The sequence below is a fragment of the Homo sapiens genome, chromosome 5 (genome assembly GCF_000001405.40).
Source record: "Homo sapiens chromosome 5, GRCh38.p14 Primary Assembly".
In the NCBI taxonomy this organism is placed as follows: Eukaryota; Metazoa; Chordata; class Mammalia; order Primates; family Hominidae; genus Homo; species Homo sapiens.
In genome coordinates, this window is record NC_000005.10 from 118,822,876 (window position 1) to 118,845,747 (window position 22,872).

General features: G+C 36.4%; 1 protein-coding gene across 4 annotated transcripts in view; it reads right to left on the reverse strand.

The window, feature by feature from the left end:
- DTWD2 (DTW motif tRNA-uridine aminocarboxypropyltransferase 2) overlaps positions 13,199–22,872 on the reverse strand; it is a 152,474-nt gene continuing 142,800 nt past the window's right edge. For all 4 annotated transcript variants that reach the window (NM_173666.4, XM_011543338.4, NM_001308081.2 and 1 more), the window contains one exon: positions 13,199–18,212. In NM_173666.4, coding sequence (NP_775937.1) covers positions 18,042–18,212 — 171 coding nt within the window. In that variant the 3' untranslated portion in view covers positions 13,199–18,041. The remainder of the gene's footprint in view (positions 18,213–22,872) is intronic.

Consider the following 22,872-nt stretch of genomic DNA (forward strand, 5'->3'; position numbering starts at 1 on the left):
TGTCTAATCACCCACAAGATGCTTGAAAAATTTTTAATTCAAAATTTTTATAAAGTAAAGATGGGGTTTTGCCATGTTACCTAGGCTGGTCTCAAATTCCTGTGCTCAGGCAATCCACCCACTTTGACCTCTCAAAGTGCTGGGATTACAGGCATAAGCCACTGAGCCTGGTTAAGATCTGTAAAAATTTTCAACGTGAAAATGTTGAAAAGGTGACTTAGTTCATTAAGAAAGATTGGATTATTGATCAAATGAAAATAAAGATGACTGTGAAATTAAAATTAACATGATAAAGATTGGTAATTCCTTTGTCACAGGCATTGAGCAAAAAATGAAGACTTGATTTTTTTTTGGCCAAAACATTTAGTGGTACAGTACAGAAATTAATCAGTAATGAAACAAATCAGAATGAATCCCCAATATCCTGAAGTTTTATAATGTTCAAGTGCTAGACTCGTAGGTAGTGTAAATGTTGACTTTTTATTTCAAATCAGTGGAATCCTTCATAAAGAATTCGTGCTACACAGGTAATTAGGCTTGATGGACAGAAATGGTGAAGTGTTTGGGTTTTCTTAGTAATTCAAAAGAAACAAACTATAATTTCTTCACCACACTTTCACAGTAAAACTAGGTTGATTTCAATTTTCTTCATATCCTGAGCTAAAATTTTTGAATACTTTAATAAACCAAAATGAACAATCAAGAGATAATTTTCTTACCTTTCAAAATGTGAAAAAAGGGGGTTTTGGTTCTGAGCACAATTCCAGGAACATTACTAAAATATTGCAGAATACGTGTACAACCTTCCAATCTTATTATTCTGATGAGGACACTGCTCCTTTGGATGTATATAACCAGGTATATTTTTAAGAAATCACTTTAATAATTTTATTTAAGATTTTCTACCATGAGTACTTCATAAAGGAATCTGTATGGCTCAAGGAGGGGATGGATATTCTCGAGACCGATGGCTACAGGTGCAGCACTTTATAAGGCTAGAACTCTTCCTTGTCTGAACTACCTTTATGCCTCTCTTCTCTCCTGCTACCTCCTGTTTACGAGGGTCTCCGTAGACTAGTAAACACTTTTTTCTTGGTTTGTCATATATGTTTGGCCCTTTTGAGAAAACGCATTCATTTTTCATTATGAGCTCTAGAGATGCAATGAGGAAATCTCCCCATCTAGAAAGGCAATCCTGATATCATTCACAGGATGTAAGGATTCTGGGCAGCATACACATGATCCCCCTTTCTGCACAGTGGGGATCAGTGTTAGCTGCCTGCTCCAGGATCCATGTTTCCTCTGTGTGGTTTAACTGCTAATGTAACTGTCAAGTGCCCCTCAGGGTTTCTCTTCTGCTAATCACAAGAGTTTTCCTAATAGTTCTCCTTGGCTTGGGTTAACTCCCTGAACTCTAACACCACGACAAATCATTAGCTGCTTCATCTTCAACACTCAGCTGGAGATAGCCATAATACATTGTCAAGGGGGAATAATTGGGGAATGAACAGTAAGGCTTTAAGTTTAAAGCCCTTAAGCAATAAATGTGGCCTTTTCCTCAAAAGGCAGCATACACATCTTAAAATTCAGCACATAGCAAAAGCCATTGTTTCTCTTTGCTATTCCTGACTTTTGATCAAGTCAGACAAGTTGAGAGCACCATACTTGATATTATGATATAGATTTTATCATTCATTTCCTACTTAAAAGGAGTGGGAAGATCCACTATTGACATTATGTTTAAGATGCTCCCACAGAATCTGTTCCAGAATTTCTATCAGAATTTTAAAACCTGAGAATCAGGAGCCCAGTTTGCAATAAAATCAGAATAAGTTCTCTATAAATTAGAGAGAACTTTGGGGGAACTTTTTTTAATACATGAGCAAACAAGTTGAAAGAGGAGAAAGAAGTTCTCATTGCAGTCTCAGAATCCTGGGAAAAAAAACCCTATAATTTGTGAAATACTAGAATTGTGTACAGCTGATTGGTGGGATCCTAGCAATGCACAATGAGAATTTTATTTGTAAATTAGAAAACTCGGGTTTCATATTTTTATCATTTGAGAAAATCCTTTGTAAAAAAAAAAAAAAGACATTAGAGATCTATGAGCCATTCCTTACCTTACTCCTCTTCTTATATACTCCATGCAGGCCTAAGATAAAAAGTTAAAAGCAGCAATCAGATGTATAATGCCTATTAATGAGCAATTATTTTAGGATTCTTCATATATCACCCCATTTTAATTTTCCATATTATGACAATATATTTGAGGGCTCTTTATTCCATAACTTAATTTCAGAAATGTTTTTCTGTATGTTTGATAAATATCTAAATCAATTTAAGAAAAAAGATCTCACTATTAGCTTCAAAAAATATATCACTTCCTTTGGCATGTGTGTGTGTATGTGTGTGTGTGCTTATGTACATGTGTGTTTATGCATAGTGCTGTTCTTATAACCAGAAAAGTTTTACCTTTTGGGGAGTCTCTGTATTCACATCAAGGAATGCTGGTACAACTTCAGACAGGAAGCTCTCAAGCTCCTTCGGGTTCTATTTTTAAAGAGATTGTTTTGACAGCTCTAATTATGGCATACAGAAATGCCAGTTGGGTAGCTGAACTTGCATTTCAAAGACTAACCTTCAGGAATGTATTTATTAAATATGAAATATGAGCATTAAGAATATCATACATTTTACATAGAATATTTTGGTTCCAACATGATTTCTTCTCTGGAATCAGTGGTCAGTCCAATCTCTTGCTACTATCTTACCTGAATTATGCACTAGGTAAGGCATTTTCCTGTAGAAAGCAGCAAGTAACTAGAACAACCTCTGTGCAGGAAGGCCCTAACAACACGTATTACACTCCTTTTTCTGAATTATATTCTGATGATAATAAACTGAAGTAGTTTAAAAAAAGAAAATTAATTTTATTATAAGAAACACCTAATGAAGCTTTTATTCACTTATGACAGAGATTTACCACATGATGAGAACATTCTGGGCTCAAAGAAAAATTCAGATTCTATTCCCCACTCAAAAAGGAAGTAGATGTGACATGGTTTTTAAGGTGATAAATTAGGGAATTAATGACTAGATCACAAGGATTGAGACAAACATTTTAATCTAACAAGTATATATAAAATATTACTGTTGTTATATCCTTCCTTACAAAGACCAAGACAGGATTAAAGGATTTACTAAAGACTACTGATGCCTACCACTGTGATAAAAAATGAAAGAAAAGTAATAGGTCATTTGCCTGAAATTAACATTATGTTTTTTTCGACTAGACATTTATAGCTACAAAAAAAGTATTAACTGGATGGTCATGTCATACAAGGTGGCTTTCTTCTTTTAATAACAAGGTTTATTTTAGGAATAAATATCTATATTAAAATATCCTAGCCCTACTAATTTTTCCTATCTAAACTCCAAATATTGGAAAATCCAAATAGCTAGATTTTTGCATACATCGTTGCAAAAGTAGCCATTTTGATGACCCTGAAACAGTGCTCCAGCATTCCAAAATACAATTTGAGTTAGAAAAATACTGATCATGATTGATAACTTTTAAATGTTAAATACATTTAAATTATTTGAAAACGGATACACTGTATGTGTCTTAACTCTTAAATAATTAATGCAAATAGCAATAATGTTCTCCAACCATTCTAAATAAATGCAAGTTGTACTGTACTTTTAGAGCTGTCAATAAATCTTCAAGAGTGAAACCCAAAAGGAATTCCAAAAGGAATTCTTTTGCAAGATTTGTTTTGATGGCTCCCAGTAGATGGACTAGAGCAAAATCCATCTTACGAGATGAAAGAAGAGAGCCCATTTGTTTTATTATTCAGAATAGTCTCTTCTGTATCTTTATCTTAGATGCAAAAAAGTACTTCTGTACCTTACAGAAGAAATTCAGATAATTATTTCTTTGCAGCAGTAAACATGAACTTGCTTATCGTTTCTAATTCATGCTAAAATAAGTATCCCTATTCTATACTAAACATATATGATGTCAAGATATTTTAAACACCAAGAACAAAATGTCTTTTTAAAAACCATACTATTCCTTATTCTTTAATTTGACAACTATTCACATTGAACTTTAAGGGCTAAGCAATATGGTAGACACGTGAGGAGACAATGGCAAGCAAAAACTTGGCAGAACTTGCAGTACAATCAAGGAGATGGATATTAATCAAATAGTTACCCAAATAAAAAATACTGTACCTGCAAAATGGTATCTGTATTAGTCCATTCTCATGCTGCTAATAAAGACATATGCAAGACTGGGTAATTTATAAAGGAAAGAGGTTTAATTGACTCTTAATTCAGCATGGTTGGGGAGGCCTCAGGAAACTTACAATCCTGGTGGAAGGGGATGCAAACAAGTCCTTCTTCACATGGCAGCAACAAGGAGAAGAATGAGCAAAGAGAGAAAAGCCCCTTATAAAACCATCAGATCTCAGGAGAACTCACTCACTATCATGAGAACAACAGCAGGGGAGTAACTGCCCCCATTATTCAATTACCTCCCACCAGGTCCCTCTCATGACACGTGGGGATTATGAGAACTACAATTCAAGATGAGATCTGGGTGGGGACACAGCCAAACCCTATCAGTATCAAAAAGAACATAGCTTTATGTAAACTGTATATAATAGGGCTATGTGACTTGATGAAGTTGGTCAGGAAGGTTCCACCAAGAAAATTGTTAGTAACCCAACATCTGAAGGATGTGAGACACTAACCAGGCCAATAAGAAAGCAAAAACATGAAAGAGAGAAAGATACGACATGTGCAAATGTCTTACAGTGGGAGGGAACATGGCAAACATGAGGGCCTAAAAGAAGATATTCTATATCTGGGAGAGAAGGGGTAGCAAAGAAGGGAACAGGGCATAAGATGAGGCTGTAGATGTAGGTTGACCATATAGAGTATTTTAGCACATATTATGCTTTGACTTTGTTTTTATTCTAAGTGCAATAAGAAGCCATTAAAGATGTTAGATAGGAGACATACCTCCACTTTCCATTCTTTTATCCTAATCACCTACAGGCTTTCCACTGACCTTTCTCTCACCGTGTTCCAGGGAAAACAGAATGCTTTATCTAATAACCAATTTGGGAAGAATATCTAGACGTGAGTAGTTCAGCTCAAAAGTCCTTCTTCTCTTTGCAAGTAGGCTCGCCTCAGAAGAAGTTACAATGTAAATCTTACTTTGGCAGACCTCGCATGAAGGCAGGCTACCCGGTCCAGTACTGCCCAGGGATGCGTGGGCAAACCTGCCTGATTCTGAAGCACAGTTTTCTATTTAGTTCTCATATAAACCACATTCTCTATGTACCACCTGCAGTGATAAGGATAATATTTTCGTTCTTCTTTTACCTCTATTCCTTGTTTTATTATATTGCTTATAGTCCAGGCCAAAAGAGGCATGCTGTTTATTAGAGGACCCCTCAGAGCGTCAGCAGAGCAGTTTTAATGAGGGAGTCTCAGTGATAAAAGAAATGGATGAAATATTCGTTGAGAAGAGCAGAAGAGTAACTTAAGAGAAAAATAAGAACAAATTGGACAAATAAGGTGGCCTTTCTTGATGTTGATCATGTATTCATAACACTATCAGTGTCCTCTCTTTAAACTTTTTTTTAGCGCACTCATCTCTTTAAGAGAGGTATAAAAAAGTCAATACTTGGTCTCAGCTAGGGTTACAGTTTTGCTAGATAATGTGACTCAAAGAAAGAGAGGGGCACAGGATTTCAGGATATTGGCAAGAGTTTATCAGTTAATTTACTGCTGGATCTCCAACGCTTAGATCAGTGCCTGACAGTTATTAGATGCTAAGCATATATTTGTTGAATGAATGAATAAGATGGTTTAGAAAACAAAGTCGGGGTCTGATTGAGCAAAAGACAGTACAGGGATAAATAAACTTAAAGACTGGTTGAGGTCAAAGAAGGATTACAGTGAAACTATTAATACTTGAACAAGATGGAAGAAGGGAGGTGGTAAGATACTAAAAGATCATTTTCAAGTTATAGCTTTACAAGTGAAATGGTGGAACACAGGGCCATGAAATGGGAGGGTGAGAAGTGGAGGAAGTTATTGAGGATGTGGAGGTTAAAAATCTTCGAGGCCATAACACGATATCAGGCAGGCTGCTATCAAAACCTGAAAGGAGCAGAAAGAGTATAAAACTTGATGCCCCTTCTTCATTCAGTGGGGAATGAAGAAATTCATACTTCATTAATAATTGGTACAAAGAGAAAGAAAAAAATTCTTGCCTAATTCATGTCAGTATTTCTTGTAAGTCTTCATCAATTCTACTCCTATCTCAATTCAACTCCTTCTTATCCTTAGGCTTATGATCCAGTTATAACTTTTAGCCAGGATTCATTTCCTTGAACTTAAATATTTGAGTGTACATGAGTCCATTAAAGTTCTAACAAAGTTGTACTTGTAGGATTACCAATGTCATCAAACTGGGATATGAAGCATGGTGAGAATATAGGAAAATTTATCACACAGCATAGAAAGTAGGGTGTGACAGTTAATATGAAAGGCTCAGGAGTCATAAAAACCTAAGTCCAAATGCTGATTATACCACCATTTGCTAGGATTTGCCATTTTCTTTAAAATAATAAAAAAAAGCCTCAGCTTCATTTGTAAAATGCATATAACAACAGAACAAACTTCATAGGGTTCATTATGAATATTAAGTGAAATAATGCACTTAAAAACTTTGTAGGATCCAAATGCATACTAAACATTTATTATTGTTTTTTTACAAAGGTTAAAGTATTTTAAAAGAAATAAAAAATATCTTACTACATATGTACCTATGTGTGTGTGTGTGTGTGTGTGTGTGTGTGTATACACTATAAAAGAGTACAGAAGAGCTGATAATAAATAGCAACAGTCTTCTTCCCTACTTCTCTGGATACAAGTCCTTCACCATATATGTGACTTGTAAATCTTTTCTCACAGTTTGTGTCTCATCTTTCAAAGAGAAGAAATCTTAATTTTGATACAAATATGCTCTTTTCTTTTATAGATCATGCTTTTGGTGTTGCATCTGAGACATTTTAGACAAATATAAGGTCACAAAGATTTTCTCTGTTTTGAAGTCTTACATTTACATCTAGGATCCATTTACAGTTAACTTCTGTATAAAATATGAGGTTTACGTAGAAGTTACATGTGTGTATTAAATTGTTCTGGCATTATTTGTTGAAAAGACTATCCTCTCTTACTGAATTGCATTTGTACCTTTTTAGAATCATCTTTTATTTTTAAAACACTTTTTTTTTTTTTTGAGATGGAGTCTTGCTCTGTCACCCGGCTGGAGTGCAGTGGTGCAATCTCAGCTCACTGCAACCTCCGCCTCCCGGATTCAAACAATTCTTCTGCCTCAGCCTCCCAAGTAGCTGGGACTACAGGCGTGCGCCACCACACCCGGCTAATTTTTTGTATTTTTAGTAGAGACGGGGTTTCACTGTGTTAGCCAGGATGGTCTCGATCTCCTGACCTTGTGATCCACTCGCCTTGGCCTCCCAAAGTGCTGGGATTACAGGCGTAAGCCACCGCGCCTGGCCTTAAAACACTTTTGAAACTTCTGCTACAACAAGATATTCCAGGTTTATTCATGTACATTCTCTACTGCAGTCCTAGAATTAGCTATTTCTCCAGGGAGTGCTGGGTGCCTTTAATGAGAAATATGTGTGTACTTCTTTACAGAATTTTGCTGGAAGTCCCACCCAACAACTTTCTTTTATGTATCATCCATACCCAGCTGCAAAAGATGCTAGACAATATAATTTTTTAGTGTGGTAGACTTTGTAGAGTACTGTTGTTATGGAAGAAAGATAAGCTAGATATTATGAGGTAATTTACATTTGTTGATAAGGTGAATAATGTGATAGAGAATAACTTCTTAAGACCAAAAGCACAACTTACATTGATACAGTTGATAACATTAACAATTAAATTTACTCTAGAATATATACTATTCTCAAAATATAGTCACAGTGGGAGAAGATTTATAACTTTCAAAAGAGAACTGGTGTCAAAATCAAGAGAAGCCACACCTGATGAACCTTATCCACTTCTAGGTTTCATACAGATGCAGATATCATGGATTTTGAGCTGATGCCATAATATGAGTCTTTTGGGATCATGGAAAGGAATTAGCGAGTCTTGAATATGGAAAGATGTGAATTGTTGCCCCAAAAGGCAAACTGAAGTAGGTTGTCTGCAAAAATAGCTGCCAAGAATTCCTACCATTCCCATGTGTGTATGCCAATCTTTTTGTCAAGAGATCGAGTTTATAACCTTGTATGAAACTCAAATCCCCTCATAACTTGTATCAACTGCTAGAATATGGTAGGAATTACATCGTGTGAATTCCAAGACTTCAGCTACAAGAGGGCTGGAAGCTTCTGCTTTCATTCCCTTGAGGGCCTGAGGCACCATGTCAAGTAGTCTGGCCATCCCGTTCAATAGGTCACATGGAAAAAGGCAAAGAGAGCCTGTTTCAGCCATTCCAGCTGAGGTAAAAGACATGTAAATGAAGCCATCTTGGATCACCTAGCTCTAGTCAAGTCTCCAGATGACTACAGCTGTAAGAGCAATCCCATAAGACTAGCAGAGGAACAGCATACTTGAGACTAGTCCAACTGAGTGCAATACAGCTATCAAAATGATGAGCAAATAAATGGTGGTTGCTTTAAAGCATTAAGTTTGAGGTGGTTTGTTATAAAGCAGTAGATAACTAAGTGTGATGATATTTGTGAGCCACGTAAATAACTGCCAAAGAGCAACTTCAGTAAGAGGAGGATCTTAATAATCAGGTGCACAAGATGACACAATCTATGGATATTAGTCTTTTTCTCCAACCACCCATGCCCTTGCCCAATTGGCCCATGAACAAAGTGACCATAAAGACAAGGATAAAAATTACACATGGGTTCAGCAACATGGATTTTCATTTCCCAAGGCTGATCTGACTACAGTCACTGCTGAGTACCCAAAATGCCAATAGCAGAGACCAACATTTAACTCCATACCATTCCATGTCTAGATCAGCCAGTCACTTAGTGCCAGGTTGATTATACTGGCATCACAGGAAGCTCAGTGTTTTGTTCTCATTGAAACAGACATTTACCCTGGACAGAAATTTTTCTTCTCTGCCTGCAATGCTTCTGCCAAAACAACCATCTGTGGACTTAAGAGAAACACATATTCACTACTGTGATATTCCACACATCATTGTTACTGACCAGGAAACTTCTTTTGTAGCAAATGAAATCTGGCAATGGGCTCTTGCTTATGGAACTCACTGGTATTACCACATTTCCCATCACCCTGAAGCAGATGGCTTGATAAAATAATGAAACCTTTTGAAAATTCAGTTACAGCACAGTGTAGGATAATTGTATGGCTGAGATAATGTCCTCCCGAAGGTGGTACATGTCCTGAATCAGCAACAAAAATATGGTACCATTTCTCCAATTGCTAGGATCCATGGCTCTGGGAATCACAGGGGTAGAAGTGGAAAAGGCTCCTCCTTAACCCTTAACCCCAAAGATCAACTAGCAAAATTTTTGTTTCCTGTCCCTGCAATTCTAGGTCCAGCTGGTTTAGATGTCTTAGTTCCCAAAGGAGTGATGCTTCCATAAGGGCATACAACAGTGGTTCCACTAAACTGGAAGCTGAGACTTCCACCTAGCTATTTCAGTTCCTCATGCCAGAAAACCAACAAGCAAATAAGAAGAAGATTATAGTACTGACTGAGGTAACTGATCCTGACTATCAAGGGCAACTGGGTTGCAAAATACAAAATGTGAGTGAGAAAAAGTATGTCTAGAATGAAGATCCTCTACTGTGTTTCTTAGTTCTCATGTGTCCTGTGACAAAAGTTAATGGAAGAGTGGCATCAGCAAGATGGCAAAATAGAAGATCCCCCAGTATCACACCTCTCAAAAAAACAGAAGCAGAAACTATTTAAAGACAAGAATACCACTCTAAATTAACAAGAACTTATGGGAGGAGCACAGAAACTCCCTTGGCCCATAGAATGTAGAGGCCACGACCAGTAAGAGAAACAACCATTTCAGATTGTGCAGCCCTCTCCCCAGATCCTGTATAACATCATTCACAAAAAATTTCCCTAGACTCATGATTTCCAAAAATTTCAGGTGAACATACACTCTCCCCAATGGTTTGAGAGTGTTTGTGGGGAGTCCACTCCTGCCCACAGGAACCACTGAGAGTACCACAAGGATACTAATATACATTCTGACCAACAGTATCCTAGCTAGTGTTCCACTTCCTCTGCATCTTTGCCAGCATTTGTTATTTTTAGTCTTTTTAATAATAGTCATTTTAACTAGGCTGAGATAATATCTCATTGTGGTTTCCATTTCCATTTCCCTGATTAGTGATGTTGAGCATTTTTTTTTCATTTACCTGCTGGCCATTTGTATGTCTTCTTTTGTGAAATGTCTATTCAGTTATTTTGCCCATTTAGTAATTGAATTATTATTTTTTGCTATTGTTTGAGTTCTGTATATATTCTGGTTATCAATTCTTAGATGTGTAATTTGCAAATATTTTCTTCCATTCTATAGGTTGTTTCTTCACTCTGTTGATTACTTTGCTGTACAGAAGCTTTTTAGCTTACTGTAATCCCATTTGTTGATTTTCCTTTTCTTGCCTGTGCTTTTGAGGTCTTACTCCAAAAAATGTTTGCCCCAACACATGTCCTGAAGTGTTTCCTCAAAGTTTTCTCCCATTAGTTTTATAGTGTGAGGTCTGGGGCCAGGAATGTGGTTCACGTATGTAATTCTAGGACTTTGGGAGGCCAAGGTAGGAGGACTGCTTGAGGCCGAGAGTTCAAGACAAGTCTGGGCAACTTAGCAAGGCTATGCAGCGCAGCAGTTTCCAGCTTGTCCTGACTCTTCTTTCCTTTTCTTCCTGCCTGCTAGTCCACCTGACCAAGAGCAGCACTAGGCCCACTAGCAGATACCTTGACGGGAACCTACAGAGACAGCAGCTACTCTGAGGCAACTAACATCTCCTCACATTCCCACTTTGGTGGCCAAAAGTGCTTGGCTTCTCAGAAATTTCCTTTAAGATCTCACTTGCTCACCTATGCCAGTGCTTCAGGAGGACTGAGTAGTGACTCCTTTTCTGATCCTCTAACTCCCCCTTTTGGATCTTCACTTTCCTAGTTCCACTCATAATTGCGTAAGGTCTAATACCTACAGTAAATCCCTTTTCCGTAACACTCATATTGGTTCTGTTTCCCAGACTAAACTCTAAGGCAAGGCCAAAGCACAGAACATATCTTAGTCTATTTTGAGCTGCTGTAACAGAATACCATAAACTGGGTAGTTTATAAAGAACAGAAATTTATTTTCCTCACAGCTCTGGAGGCTGGGAAGTCCAAGATTGAGGAGCTGGCATCTTGTGAGGGCCTTCTTGCTGCATTATCCCATAATGGAAGGCAAAAGGGCAAGAGTGTAACAGGGGAACAAACCCACCCTTTCATAATGGCACCAATCCGCCCATGAGGGGACATTCAAACCACAGTAGATCACTTATTTTAAACTTACCTTCTAATACAGGCATACCTTTGAGATATTGTGGGTTCAGTTCCAGACCATCACAATAAAGTGAATATCACAATATTGATGATTGATTCCTTTGATCTATTATTTCTCTGAAAAGTCACCTCCTCCAGCAAGGCTTTTCCAAACTACTGTGACTGAAGTTTCATTATGCTCTCTACTATAGGAGCACTTTCATATCAGTTATCAACACCTGAAATTATTTTATTATGATCAACCATCAGAACTTCAACTTTTTTAACACAGAAATTCTGTCTTCTACATCACTGTATTCTCTAGTACCTAAAATTGTGACTGGCACATAGTAAGTGCTAATTAAAATATCTATTGAATACATGTATAGCTTATTGGACTACTGAGAATTACTAAAGAAACTAAAATCTGTCGACTAAACATAAAAGATAGAAGTTACAGAAAATGCTAATATATACTAAAACCTGATATTTTATGGAAATCCAACCTTATTTCACTACTAACATATTATATTCATTATCCAAATTAATGGTACATGCATGGGGAGATAATATTAACAGACTCTGCTCTTTGCTGCTAAATACTAGATATAATTCACATATTTCAAATTAAATATTATATTTTAATAATAGGATTAATGAGAATCATCAGTGAAAATCTATGGCAATTACATTTTTAAAAACAATTCAAATAACTTTTGTTATTAACAATTAATAGTAAGCGCATATAACAAAAAACCATTATTAGTGATTTAACTATTTTTAAATGAAAATGAGGTTTAGCATTATATTAGGAATGTACTATTAGATATTAGAAACCACAGATGTTTAGTTCTAAGTAAACTATTACTATATCCCATCAGCAAAGATATTAATGAACTAAGCTAAATGATGACTGATACTCTTTAAAGAAATGAAATCAATTAGCACAAGTGAAAAGCCAAAAAGTGACACTATAATTCACTTTCCCTACTTTAACTTACTAAACACTTTACAAATTAAAGAATTAGTCACTTTGTTAATGATGTATTTTACTTTAAAGATACTCATTGTGTCTACCAATCTTTACTTTTACCTTATGCACTAAGAGGATTTTTTTCTTTTATAGGAGACCGTATATGTCTTGGATAAAACTATCTATCACTGCTTGCCACATAGAATTTGAATTTGCAAGAGTTCGGAGAGTTGCCAAAAAAGTATTAAAATATGATGCTAAAACATTGGTTTCCTTTAAATAACTACAGACAATTCTAGAAATGGAAAAAAGGGAAGTATACATTTTAGACCCAAAATCACGTATATTTAAAAATCTTTCTTCATTGATTTTACTAAGAAGCAACTTTAGAAATAAAGCTATTTAATAAAGCGAAAATACTAAACAGTAAGTTTATAAAATTAAATGATCATATTGTAAATCACTGCCAGTTTTCCTAACAACTGTTTCCCATAAAATTACATTTATACACACAAAAAAAATGAGGAAATTTTCCCCTTGCAAATAACACATTTGGAGGCAGAAATGAGTAAATGATATTTGTATGCAAAATCAGTAAGGAGTACTCTGTAATGAAAATAATCCTGAGGCAGGTACACTTTTAAAAAATGTTTTAATTCTTTAATATACTTCTAAGTAACAATAACAGTAAGACATATAGTAAAATTTCTTATTCGAATAATTTTTTTAAAAAACCTTACATTAAAAAGTTTCTTTTAAAAATAATTCTTACGTTGTTAGTTCAAGTGAATCTTATTTTTATTTATTTATTTATTTATTTGAGACACTGTCTCACTCTGTCGCCCAGGCTAGAGTGCAGTGGTACATCTCAGCTCACTGCAACCTCTGCCTCCCAGGTTCAAGCAATTCTCTGCCTCAGCCTCCTGAGTAGCTGGGATTACAGGTGCCTGCCACTACGCCTGGCTAATTTTTGTATTTTTAGTACAGATGAGGTTTCACCATCTTGGCCAGGCTGGTCTTGAACTCCTGACCTCGTGATCTACCCACCTCGGCCTCCCAAAGTGCTGGAATTACAGATGTGAGCCACCACGCTTGGCTCAAGTGAATAATTCTTAAAAATTGAAAAACAATTACTTATTTCTCTAATATGCTTTTTAGTAGAGTACAGGAGTTGCTATGGTCTGAATATTTGTGTCCCCACAAAACTCACAGGTTGAAACCTTAATTCCCGAGGTATAGTATTAGGAAGTGGAACCTTTGGGGGATGATTAGGTCATAAGGGTCTCAGAGAGCTAGCTCGACCCTTCCACTAGGTGAAGACACAGCTAGAATGCACCATCTATGAACCAGTGAGTGGGCCCCTCACCAGACACCAAATCTGCTGGCACCTTGATATTGTATTTCCCAGCCTCCAGACTTAGAAGAAATAAATTTCTGTTTTTTATAAGCTATCCAGTCTCTGGTATTCTGAGAGAGCAGCCAGAATGGACTAAGACAGGAGTCAAGTGATCAGCACGGTGTAAAAAGTCAGGGATTTCCAGATTTCCTGAATAATTTTTAAATATAAAATTGTAAACTGTTAAGACCACTACAGTATCTTTTGTTTAAAAACATGCTATGTAAGGATGTATGAGTATTTGTATAAATAACAACAGCTAGTACATACAATAAGAATAGTATAAAAGGGAAGGGGAACAATGTAGGTGATGAAAGAGGGAGAGGAAGACCCTGGGAAGGAGGAAGAAAGTGTGAAGAGAAAAGAGAGAGAATATGCTTTAAGTTAATGTAGCTAATAAAAATTTAGATTGGACAATTTAAGAGAGTAATTCATTCTACAAAAAGCCTACTTATGGGGCAAATTAAATGCAAAGTTTCATTCCATCTATAATGCAATATTATTTATTCATAAAAATATCCATCCATACCTATTTTAAAGAAATACATCTACATAGTAAAATACAGTTTTGTAAAACTTTTGAGTTTACTAAGTCAGATCTAATTTTTTACTTGTAGCATCAATAAAATTTACTTCTGAACCAATAACAACTACAGGCAAGGGTCAACAATTTAGCTCCCTGAAATTCAGCATCCCTGAAATTCAATGGAAAGGATTTTCTAATAACATGATCACATTTTTAAACCTATTTAGGGCAACAGTTGGAAATATGTGATGAAGAAACTGAGTAAATTATACAGAAGTGCTCTTCTATATAATTTACTGAGAGGCCAAGGCAGAAGGATCGCTTGAGGCCAGGAGTTCAGGACCAGCCTAAACAACACAGCAAGACCCCCATCTCCACAAAAATTAAATGAAATTAGTAAAATTTAAAATTAGCTGAGTGTGGTGGCATGGGGCTGAGGTTCTAGCTACTTGGGAGGCTGAGGCAGGAGGAACACTTGAGCCCAGGAGTTTGATGCTGCAGTAAGCTATGATTACACCACTGCACTCCAAACTGGGTGACAGAAGGAGGCCCTGTCTCTAAAATACATAAATAAATAAATCACTAACTGGTGGTATAGTGAGGAGCTTATTTCTTCCAAAATATATGAAAAATATTACTGGTCATGACTAAGAAAAGTGTCTCTGGAGTCTTCAAGTTAGAGAAAATAATTTTTTCCCAATATAATTCTCCTATTCCACATAAGTCTTATAATCCAACCTGTAGAAAGTTGCCATGCACTGTGACTTACTACTTTGTATAATCTAGTTCTCAACCTTTTACACTCATGTGTGCAAGAAACTCTCAATACCTCTCATTACACGCAGTGATTTTCAACATACTATAAAGGAGCTGATTAAAAGTGAGGTCACTTTATGTATGAGGAAATACTATTCTCTGAGTTACACGGTTCAAATAACTCACAAAACGATCTACACAACATCAAAGTGCAGATGGGGTACACAAGTAAAACCTACTATCAGCTACAAATTCATAAAACTTGGAACTTCCAGGAAAAATCAAGCAAATATAAAGAATCTGAATTTAAAAGCCAACTAATACAATAAAAAAGTAATTTTTAAAAGCCTGATTAATTTTTCAATTAAAATACTCAGATAATACTACACACTTGAGAACTTTTAGTAATTAAAATAATGGCTTTTAAAACTTACTTACAACTGTTTAATGAGAACAGGTGACTAGAGAAGCATTTTATACCACAGATGATTAAATGGACTCACCTTGTTAAGAGGTCAGGAAAAAATAAGTAAAAAACAAGTACAGTGAGTTAACAGGTCAGTAAAGTAATTTGGAAAACTATACATACTTCAAGAAAATTTTATACATTTCCAAAAACACTAAATTTTAAGCTTTTTAAGTCTTCAAAAATACTCTAAAATGTTTTATTTAAAAGATAAAAGTAGAAATTACTCTTAAAAATCAATAAAGTAAAATTTTGAGATACAAAATGGTATACTGGGGGTAGGGGGAGTTTTCTTTTTAAAAAATAATAATGATGGCTGGGCACGGTCCCAGCACTTTTGGAGGCCAAGGCAGACAGATCACGAGGTCAGGAGATCGAGACCATCCTGGCTAATACGGTGAAACCCCATCTCTACTAAAAATACAAAAAATTAGCCGGGCGTGGTGGTGGGCACCTGTAGTCCCAGCTACTCAGGAGGCTGAGGCAGAAGAATGGCGTGAACCCAGGAGGCAGAGCTTTCAGTGAGCCAAGATTGCGCCACTGCACTCCAGCCTGGGCGACAGAGCGAGATTCCATCTCAAATAATAATAATAATAATAATAATGACTAAAAGAAACTCATGAAGTTTAATATCAATGTGAAAAATTACTACAAAATGATTTTAGCCCCACTTGTTAAGAAACTATTATACATTATTATATGCTGTTTCTTTTCTAGTACACCAAATAATCATTTGATATTAAGTGCTTTACATTGTAAATGAGCTAGTTTGTTTATTTATTTATTTATTTTAGACAGGTCTCACTCTGTAGCCCAGGCTGGAGTGCAGTGGAATGAACATAGCTCCTTGCAACCTTGATGTCCTGGGCTCCAGCGATCCTCCCACCTTAGCCTCCCAAGTAGCTAGGACTACAAGTGCACACCACCACATCTGGCTAATTATTTTTTTTTTAATTTTGTATGGAGATGGAGTCTCACCATATTGCCCAGGCTGGTCTCAAACTCCTGGGCTCAAGCAATTCTCACATCTCAGCCTCCCAAAGTGCTGGGATTACAGGTGTGAGCTAATGGGCCCAGCCCTAATTTGTTTTTAAATCCAAAAATAAATCAACAATAGAAGCCAGCACTCTTTTAATATTTTAAAATATTTTCTGCATAGTTTCCCCAAATATTAGCATTCTAATTGTGACCAGCATTATACCTTTTAATGAGTCTAATCCAAGTAAATAATAAACAAATGATCATGAAAACTGTGAGAAATAATCATTGGTGTATGCTCTATAAATAGTTACCAAGTTTACCTTTAAATGGCATGTTTAGTTTTTCCTTACAACTTAACACTAGATACAGGAAACTCTAGAACTCATAAACAAAGACTAAACAAAATCCCCTCTTCCTGCCAAAATGTGTACATAATTGCAGTAGACTTGTGCTGAATATACATATATGTTACATACATGTCTCTTATTCTATACAAAATCTCAGCAAATATTTTCCCACAGAGCAGGAAGAATTTTTTCTCTCAAATGGAAAGTTTTTGCTCGTTAAAAAGGTTATATTAAATAGCCCTAAAGAAATATGTTCTGAAAATAACAATTGTATCATATTCCACTTATTATTTTCCATATGAAAACATCAATAAAATAAGTTTACCAGAGTCAATAAGCCTGTTCAATGAACACTGAAAAATACAAATTTATCCAGAGTGATTACAAATGAAAATGTGTGCTATTTCAAAATTACATGCACCTCTTTAAAAATCAGGGCAATTAATAGAGCGCTTAAATCATATTAGCTGAGTTCAAATTTGGCCCCTAAACAATACTTAAAATTTCCTTATTCCTTTATACTATTTTACAAAATAATAAATTACTTGATTATCATAATTTTCTTTTGCTACTTATTTCAAACTGTAAAGTCAGGACTGCAAACTGATGTAGGAATCTTATATTATTGGTCTACACCTAATTATTTATAAACATTAATGGACACAACACCGTTCCAATCCACTACAACAATTTTCTTCTATTTTACAAGTAAGAACTTCTAACCTATCACAACAACAAATCATATTTTAAATTTGGGTTTGAAAACATGTATTAGAGGCACATTTTTAAAAACAAGTACAGTAGGAAATCCTGCTTTTCAGTGAGCCAGTGAATTTCTGTTTATTTGTATTTATGAATATTTGGTTTACTTCCTTCTTCTGGGTAAGATTAGTATGCAATTCTCCTTCTTTAGCAAGTCAAAAACCTACAGACCTTAACTATATGAAAACTTAATTTGGTATTGTTAGATGAAGACAGTTAAGCTAGCACCAAAAGAATAACTGTACTAAATTTTAACACTATTCATTAACAATTCCATTTTCCTGAGTTTGCGTTTGTTCTTTGGCATTGGTTTAGGATATAATCCATTTTTCAGAAGGTGTTCCTTGCTGAGGCGAATTTGGGCACCATGCTGAAGTTGAAAGGAGCATAAAGCTTGAAGAGGGCGAAGCAAAGTCTGTCAAGAGAAAAAAGACACTAAAAAAGTATCTGTGACAAATCATGATATTCTATCTATATTTTTCATTCAGAAATAGGAGTTACTATGTTTCTTTTATTATGATTGGCTTTTAACTATGAGAAACACTAGGCACTCTGATAAATATATAATTATTTCTAGATAAATAATGTCTTTAAAATTCATGCCTTAATATTACACTAAGGAATTTTATTAAAAAGATACAAATACTGATTTTCCACATAGGTAATAAAGTCTGGCATTAGTTTTATACATTATTCAAACACCACAAAAAATTGTTGCCATTATAATTGAATCCATAACAAGGAGACTAAATGAGACATTTAAATACAAAGATAAGTACACCAAAATAGTCAATTCAGTTTCTATGACAAATTAATGCAAGCTTACTGACACCTGACAACAATTAGATGATGGCAGCAATGGGTAAACGGTTTGCTATTTCTCTCACATTAGTGCCATGGACCACATACAAGTTAGATGCCCAGGTCTTGGTGCGTTTGAAATTATTCTAACAATATCTGAACTGTCTAAATTCAAATACCTATAGGCCAGCCATGTAACAGAAACACGTAAACTGGGTGGATCTTTACAAGCCAACAGAGAATAGTGGCGGCTGTAATACAACTGGAGTATACGCTCTACCTGAAGTTATTCAAATTCAAAAATTAAAAAAAAAACAACACTATGCCAGTGTTTTAAACATATTTTGGGTGAGATTCCTTCCTTGGGCCTGAGACCCCTGATGAAGATATTTTCAAAAATAACAGCAAAAAAACTTAATTAAACAGATTGTTAAAGGAGCACAAAAGAAACAAAGAAAAAACTGATAGATTTAACTACAAAAAATTCACAATGTCTACGTGAAAATGTATTAACCCACAAAGAAAACCCCACATGAATTAACAAATGTAGTAAGGGTTCTCTTACATGCGGCCAAATATCATTCCTAACTATAATACACACTCTCACATCTGTAATCCCAGCATTTTGGGAGGCTGATGCACAACATAAGTGGTAGAAAAAGGGCTTAATAGCTTTAATTTATAATGAAATTAAATTTATTTATTGTGATAGTCACTAGTAGTTGCTTCTTCGTATTATTTTCTCCCTTATTAAAATAATTCAAATTATATTCAAGGTAGCAATGTGTCCAGCTACTAATATTACATTCACTAATGACCCAATCTATCCAAGAAGATGTAACTAGAAGTCCTTGGATGGGGCTTCTAGAGATACTCTTTAAAGGGGACAAACTTAGCAGGCATAGGTTTTTGTCCTTTTTTCCTGCCTAGAAAATAACTGTTGAAGGTAGGACAAGCATCATGTGACTACTAGGCAACAAACATGAAGATTAAAGCCAAATACAAAAGATGATGGACAGAAAGAAAAGAAAACTTGTCCCTGAATTCTTTTTCAAGCTGCATTCCCAGTCAGGACTGCCCACCTCAGCATTTCTGATTTACAGGAGAAAAAGAAAACCCCATGTGAATTAACCACTGCAGTAAGGGCTCTCTTACATGCAGGCAAATATAATTCCTTACTGTAATATACACCCCCACATCTGTAATCCCAGCATTTTGGGAGGCTGATGCAGGAGGATTGCTTGAGCCCAGCAGTTTGAGACCAGCCCAGGCAACATGGCAAGACCCTGTTTCTATTAAAAAAAAAAAAAGAAAATAGAAAAAATTAGCCAGACATGGTGGTGTGCACCTGTGGTCCCAGCTACTCGGGAGGCTGAGGCAGGAGGATCGCTTGAGCCTGGGAGGTCAAGGCGGCAGTGAGCCACGATCATACCACTGCACTCCAGCCTTGGTGACAGAATGAGAAACTTTCTTCTTCCTCTTTTTTTTTTTTTTTTTTTTTGAGATGGAGTCTTGTTCTGTCACCCAGGCTGGAGTGCAGTGGCACAATCTCAGCTCACTGCAACCTCCGCCTCCTGGGTTCAAGTGATTCTTCTGCCTCAGCCTCCCAAGTAGCTGGGACTATAGGTGCATGCCACCATGCCCAGCTTATTTTTGTATTTTTAGTAGAGACGGGGTTTCACCATATTGGCCAGGCTGGTCTCGAACTCCTGACCTCGTGATCCACCTGCCTCGGCCTCCCAAAGTGCTGGGATTACAGGTGTGAGCCACCGCATCCGGCCCAGAATAGAAATGAAAGAAAAGAAAGAAAAGGAAGGAAGGGAAAGGAAGGGAAAGGGAAGGGAAAAGGAAGGAAGCGAGGGAGGGAGGGAGGCAGGGAGGGAGGAAGGGAGGAAGGGAGGAAGGAAGGAGAGAGATAGAAAGAAAAAAGGTAAATATCTTGGAAAGGCTCTGCACAATATTATTGTAGAAAACTCCTTATGCATGTTCCCGTAATTTATTTTAATGAGGAAAATAAGAGAGGGAATGCTAAAATAACTATATATGACTTTACGTACTTTACAGAGTCACCACAGTGGACTGTATTCTGAAACACTGAACCCAGGAAACATACCTAGGATGACATACAGACCAAGACAACTGAAGATTCTATTGATATTTTATGACATTTATTATATTCTTGTAAACAGAAGAAAACTCATATTCTTATGGTCAAAAGATTCCAACTTTTACATCCTGAAGATAAGATTCTATCAATTTACTGAGGTAATGAAGAGAATGAATTTTGGAAACAGGCAGATCTGGATTAGATCCCTACTCCATCTCTGTTGGTACTCCCTACAGCTGTTCACAAATAGGCCAGCCTCCTTCCTGATACATGAGCAGATTGGCATTTTCTATCCCTTTTCAAATTTAGGCACAGCCATATAACTTGCTTTGGTTAATGAAATGTGAGTACAACTAATACGTGTCACCTTAGGGCAGAAGCATTAAAAGTGGTATAGGATACACCACCTTCCTTGCTCCTTCCTTGATGAAAGTGGGATGAATTATCTAGATAGTTCCTCCATCAGGTTGGGTGCCTGAGTGACTGCAAATCAGCAGAGGTCCTCAGGGTAATCCCACTGGACAAACAGCATGAGAGATGCATAAACTTTTGTCATCTTATCTGATTTCAACTTCAGAGTTTTAAAGTTGTAGCCTATCCTAGTAAATCCTTTTTGCTGCATGTGAAAAGTGACAGTTTTCAAGGAACCATTACTACCAACTGCAGATATTGGGTAGAGCCAAAACATTCAGGTTATAGCAGGAGGTTTTGCCACATCTATCTTTAAAAATTCCTATGATAAAACTTCGTAAGTAGAAAAGGTTCTGTAATAAAAAAGAACCCCAAGCTAAAGGCTTCCAAGGTATGAAAAGTCCTGGTAAATACTGTAGTAGCTAATGAAAGCCACTATCTTTTAGTTCAGACTTTCTTTTGCCAATCTACAGGCAAAAATTAGAGAGGAAAAGAGGGGCAAGAGGATTAACTCTTTTTGAGTGCCTGTGTTGACAACTGTGGCGATTACTCATTATTATCTCAGTTCTTGAAATACTATGAGGTAACATTTTGTATATTACAGATAAGAACACAAGTACAAAAAATTATGTGGTCTGCCCACTTGCAAAAAGTGATGATAATAAGTTGTAATTCAAAACTACTTCAAAATCCACATTGTGCTACTTTCATGTAGCCATGCTTTCAGGTGCTTGAAAAACTGCTCTAGAATAAAGAGTGAGGATGAGACAACAGATTAACAAAGCTATTCTGTGCCAAGTTCTTTATTTTGAGGAACCCTGCCTCTATAGAATGAAGCCAAGTGAAAATTTACTCTTCTCTGGCAGGCACAGTAGCTCAGACCTGTAATTCCAACATTTTGGCAGGCGAAGGCAGGTGGATCGCTTAAATCCCCTAGGAGTTCAAGACCAATCTGGGCAACTTGAGACTCCCCCCGCCTCTCCCATCTCTACAAAAAATACAAAAATTAGCTGGGCATGGTGGTATGCACCTGTAGTCCCAGCTACTTGGGAGGCTGAGGTGGGAGGATCACTTAAACCCAGGAGGCAGAAGTTGCAGTGAATCAAGATCATGCCACTGCACTCCAGCCTGGGTGACAGAGCAAGACTCTGTTGGAAAAGAAAAAGAAAAAAGAAAAAGAAAAGTGAAGGAAAGTGAAGCAAAGAAAAGAGGAAAAAGAAAAAGAAAATTTACTATTCTCCCCCACCATCTTAAGGTTTTATTAGAATGCCCCTGATAAAAGGTTATTGGGAAAAAGTGTATGTCATCACTTTCCTCCCCAGGAGGGAAAGAAAACACCTATGTTTAGGGCAGACTGATACTGCATTTCACAAAGATGCTAATTTATTATCGCAACTAGATGCTAATTTTTTTCTCATAACTAGATTTGAAAAGGCTGGATGTGGGGTTCCCCCACTAAGAAAACAGCTTTCACTATAAATTGTGGCTGGAAGCAATTTTTGCCATCTGTAATAATAAGCAACTTGAGATGTTTTATTATGTATTTCTTCTGCTCACTCTCCCACCATGTTATCAGTACCTCCCAAATCCCAGGTTTGACTGTCAAATATCCTTTTTCTACTCCTGGCCACTGCAGTACAATTACTCCTGGCAACCAAAGCAAGCAGAATGAGGGCTCTAAGACCTCACTATTACTTTGGGACTTTATGTTTAATTTTATCTACAGACAACAATAACAAAAGCTGAAGAGATAATG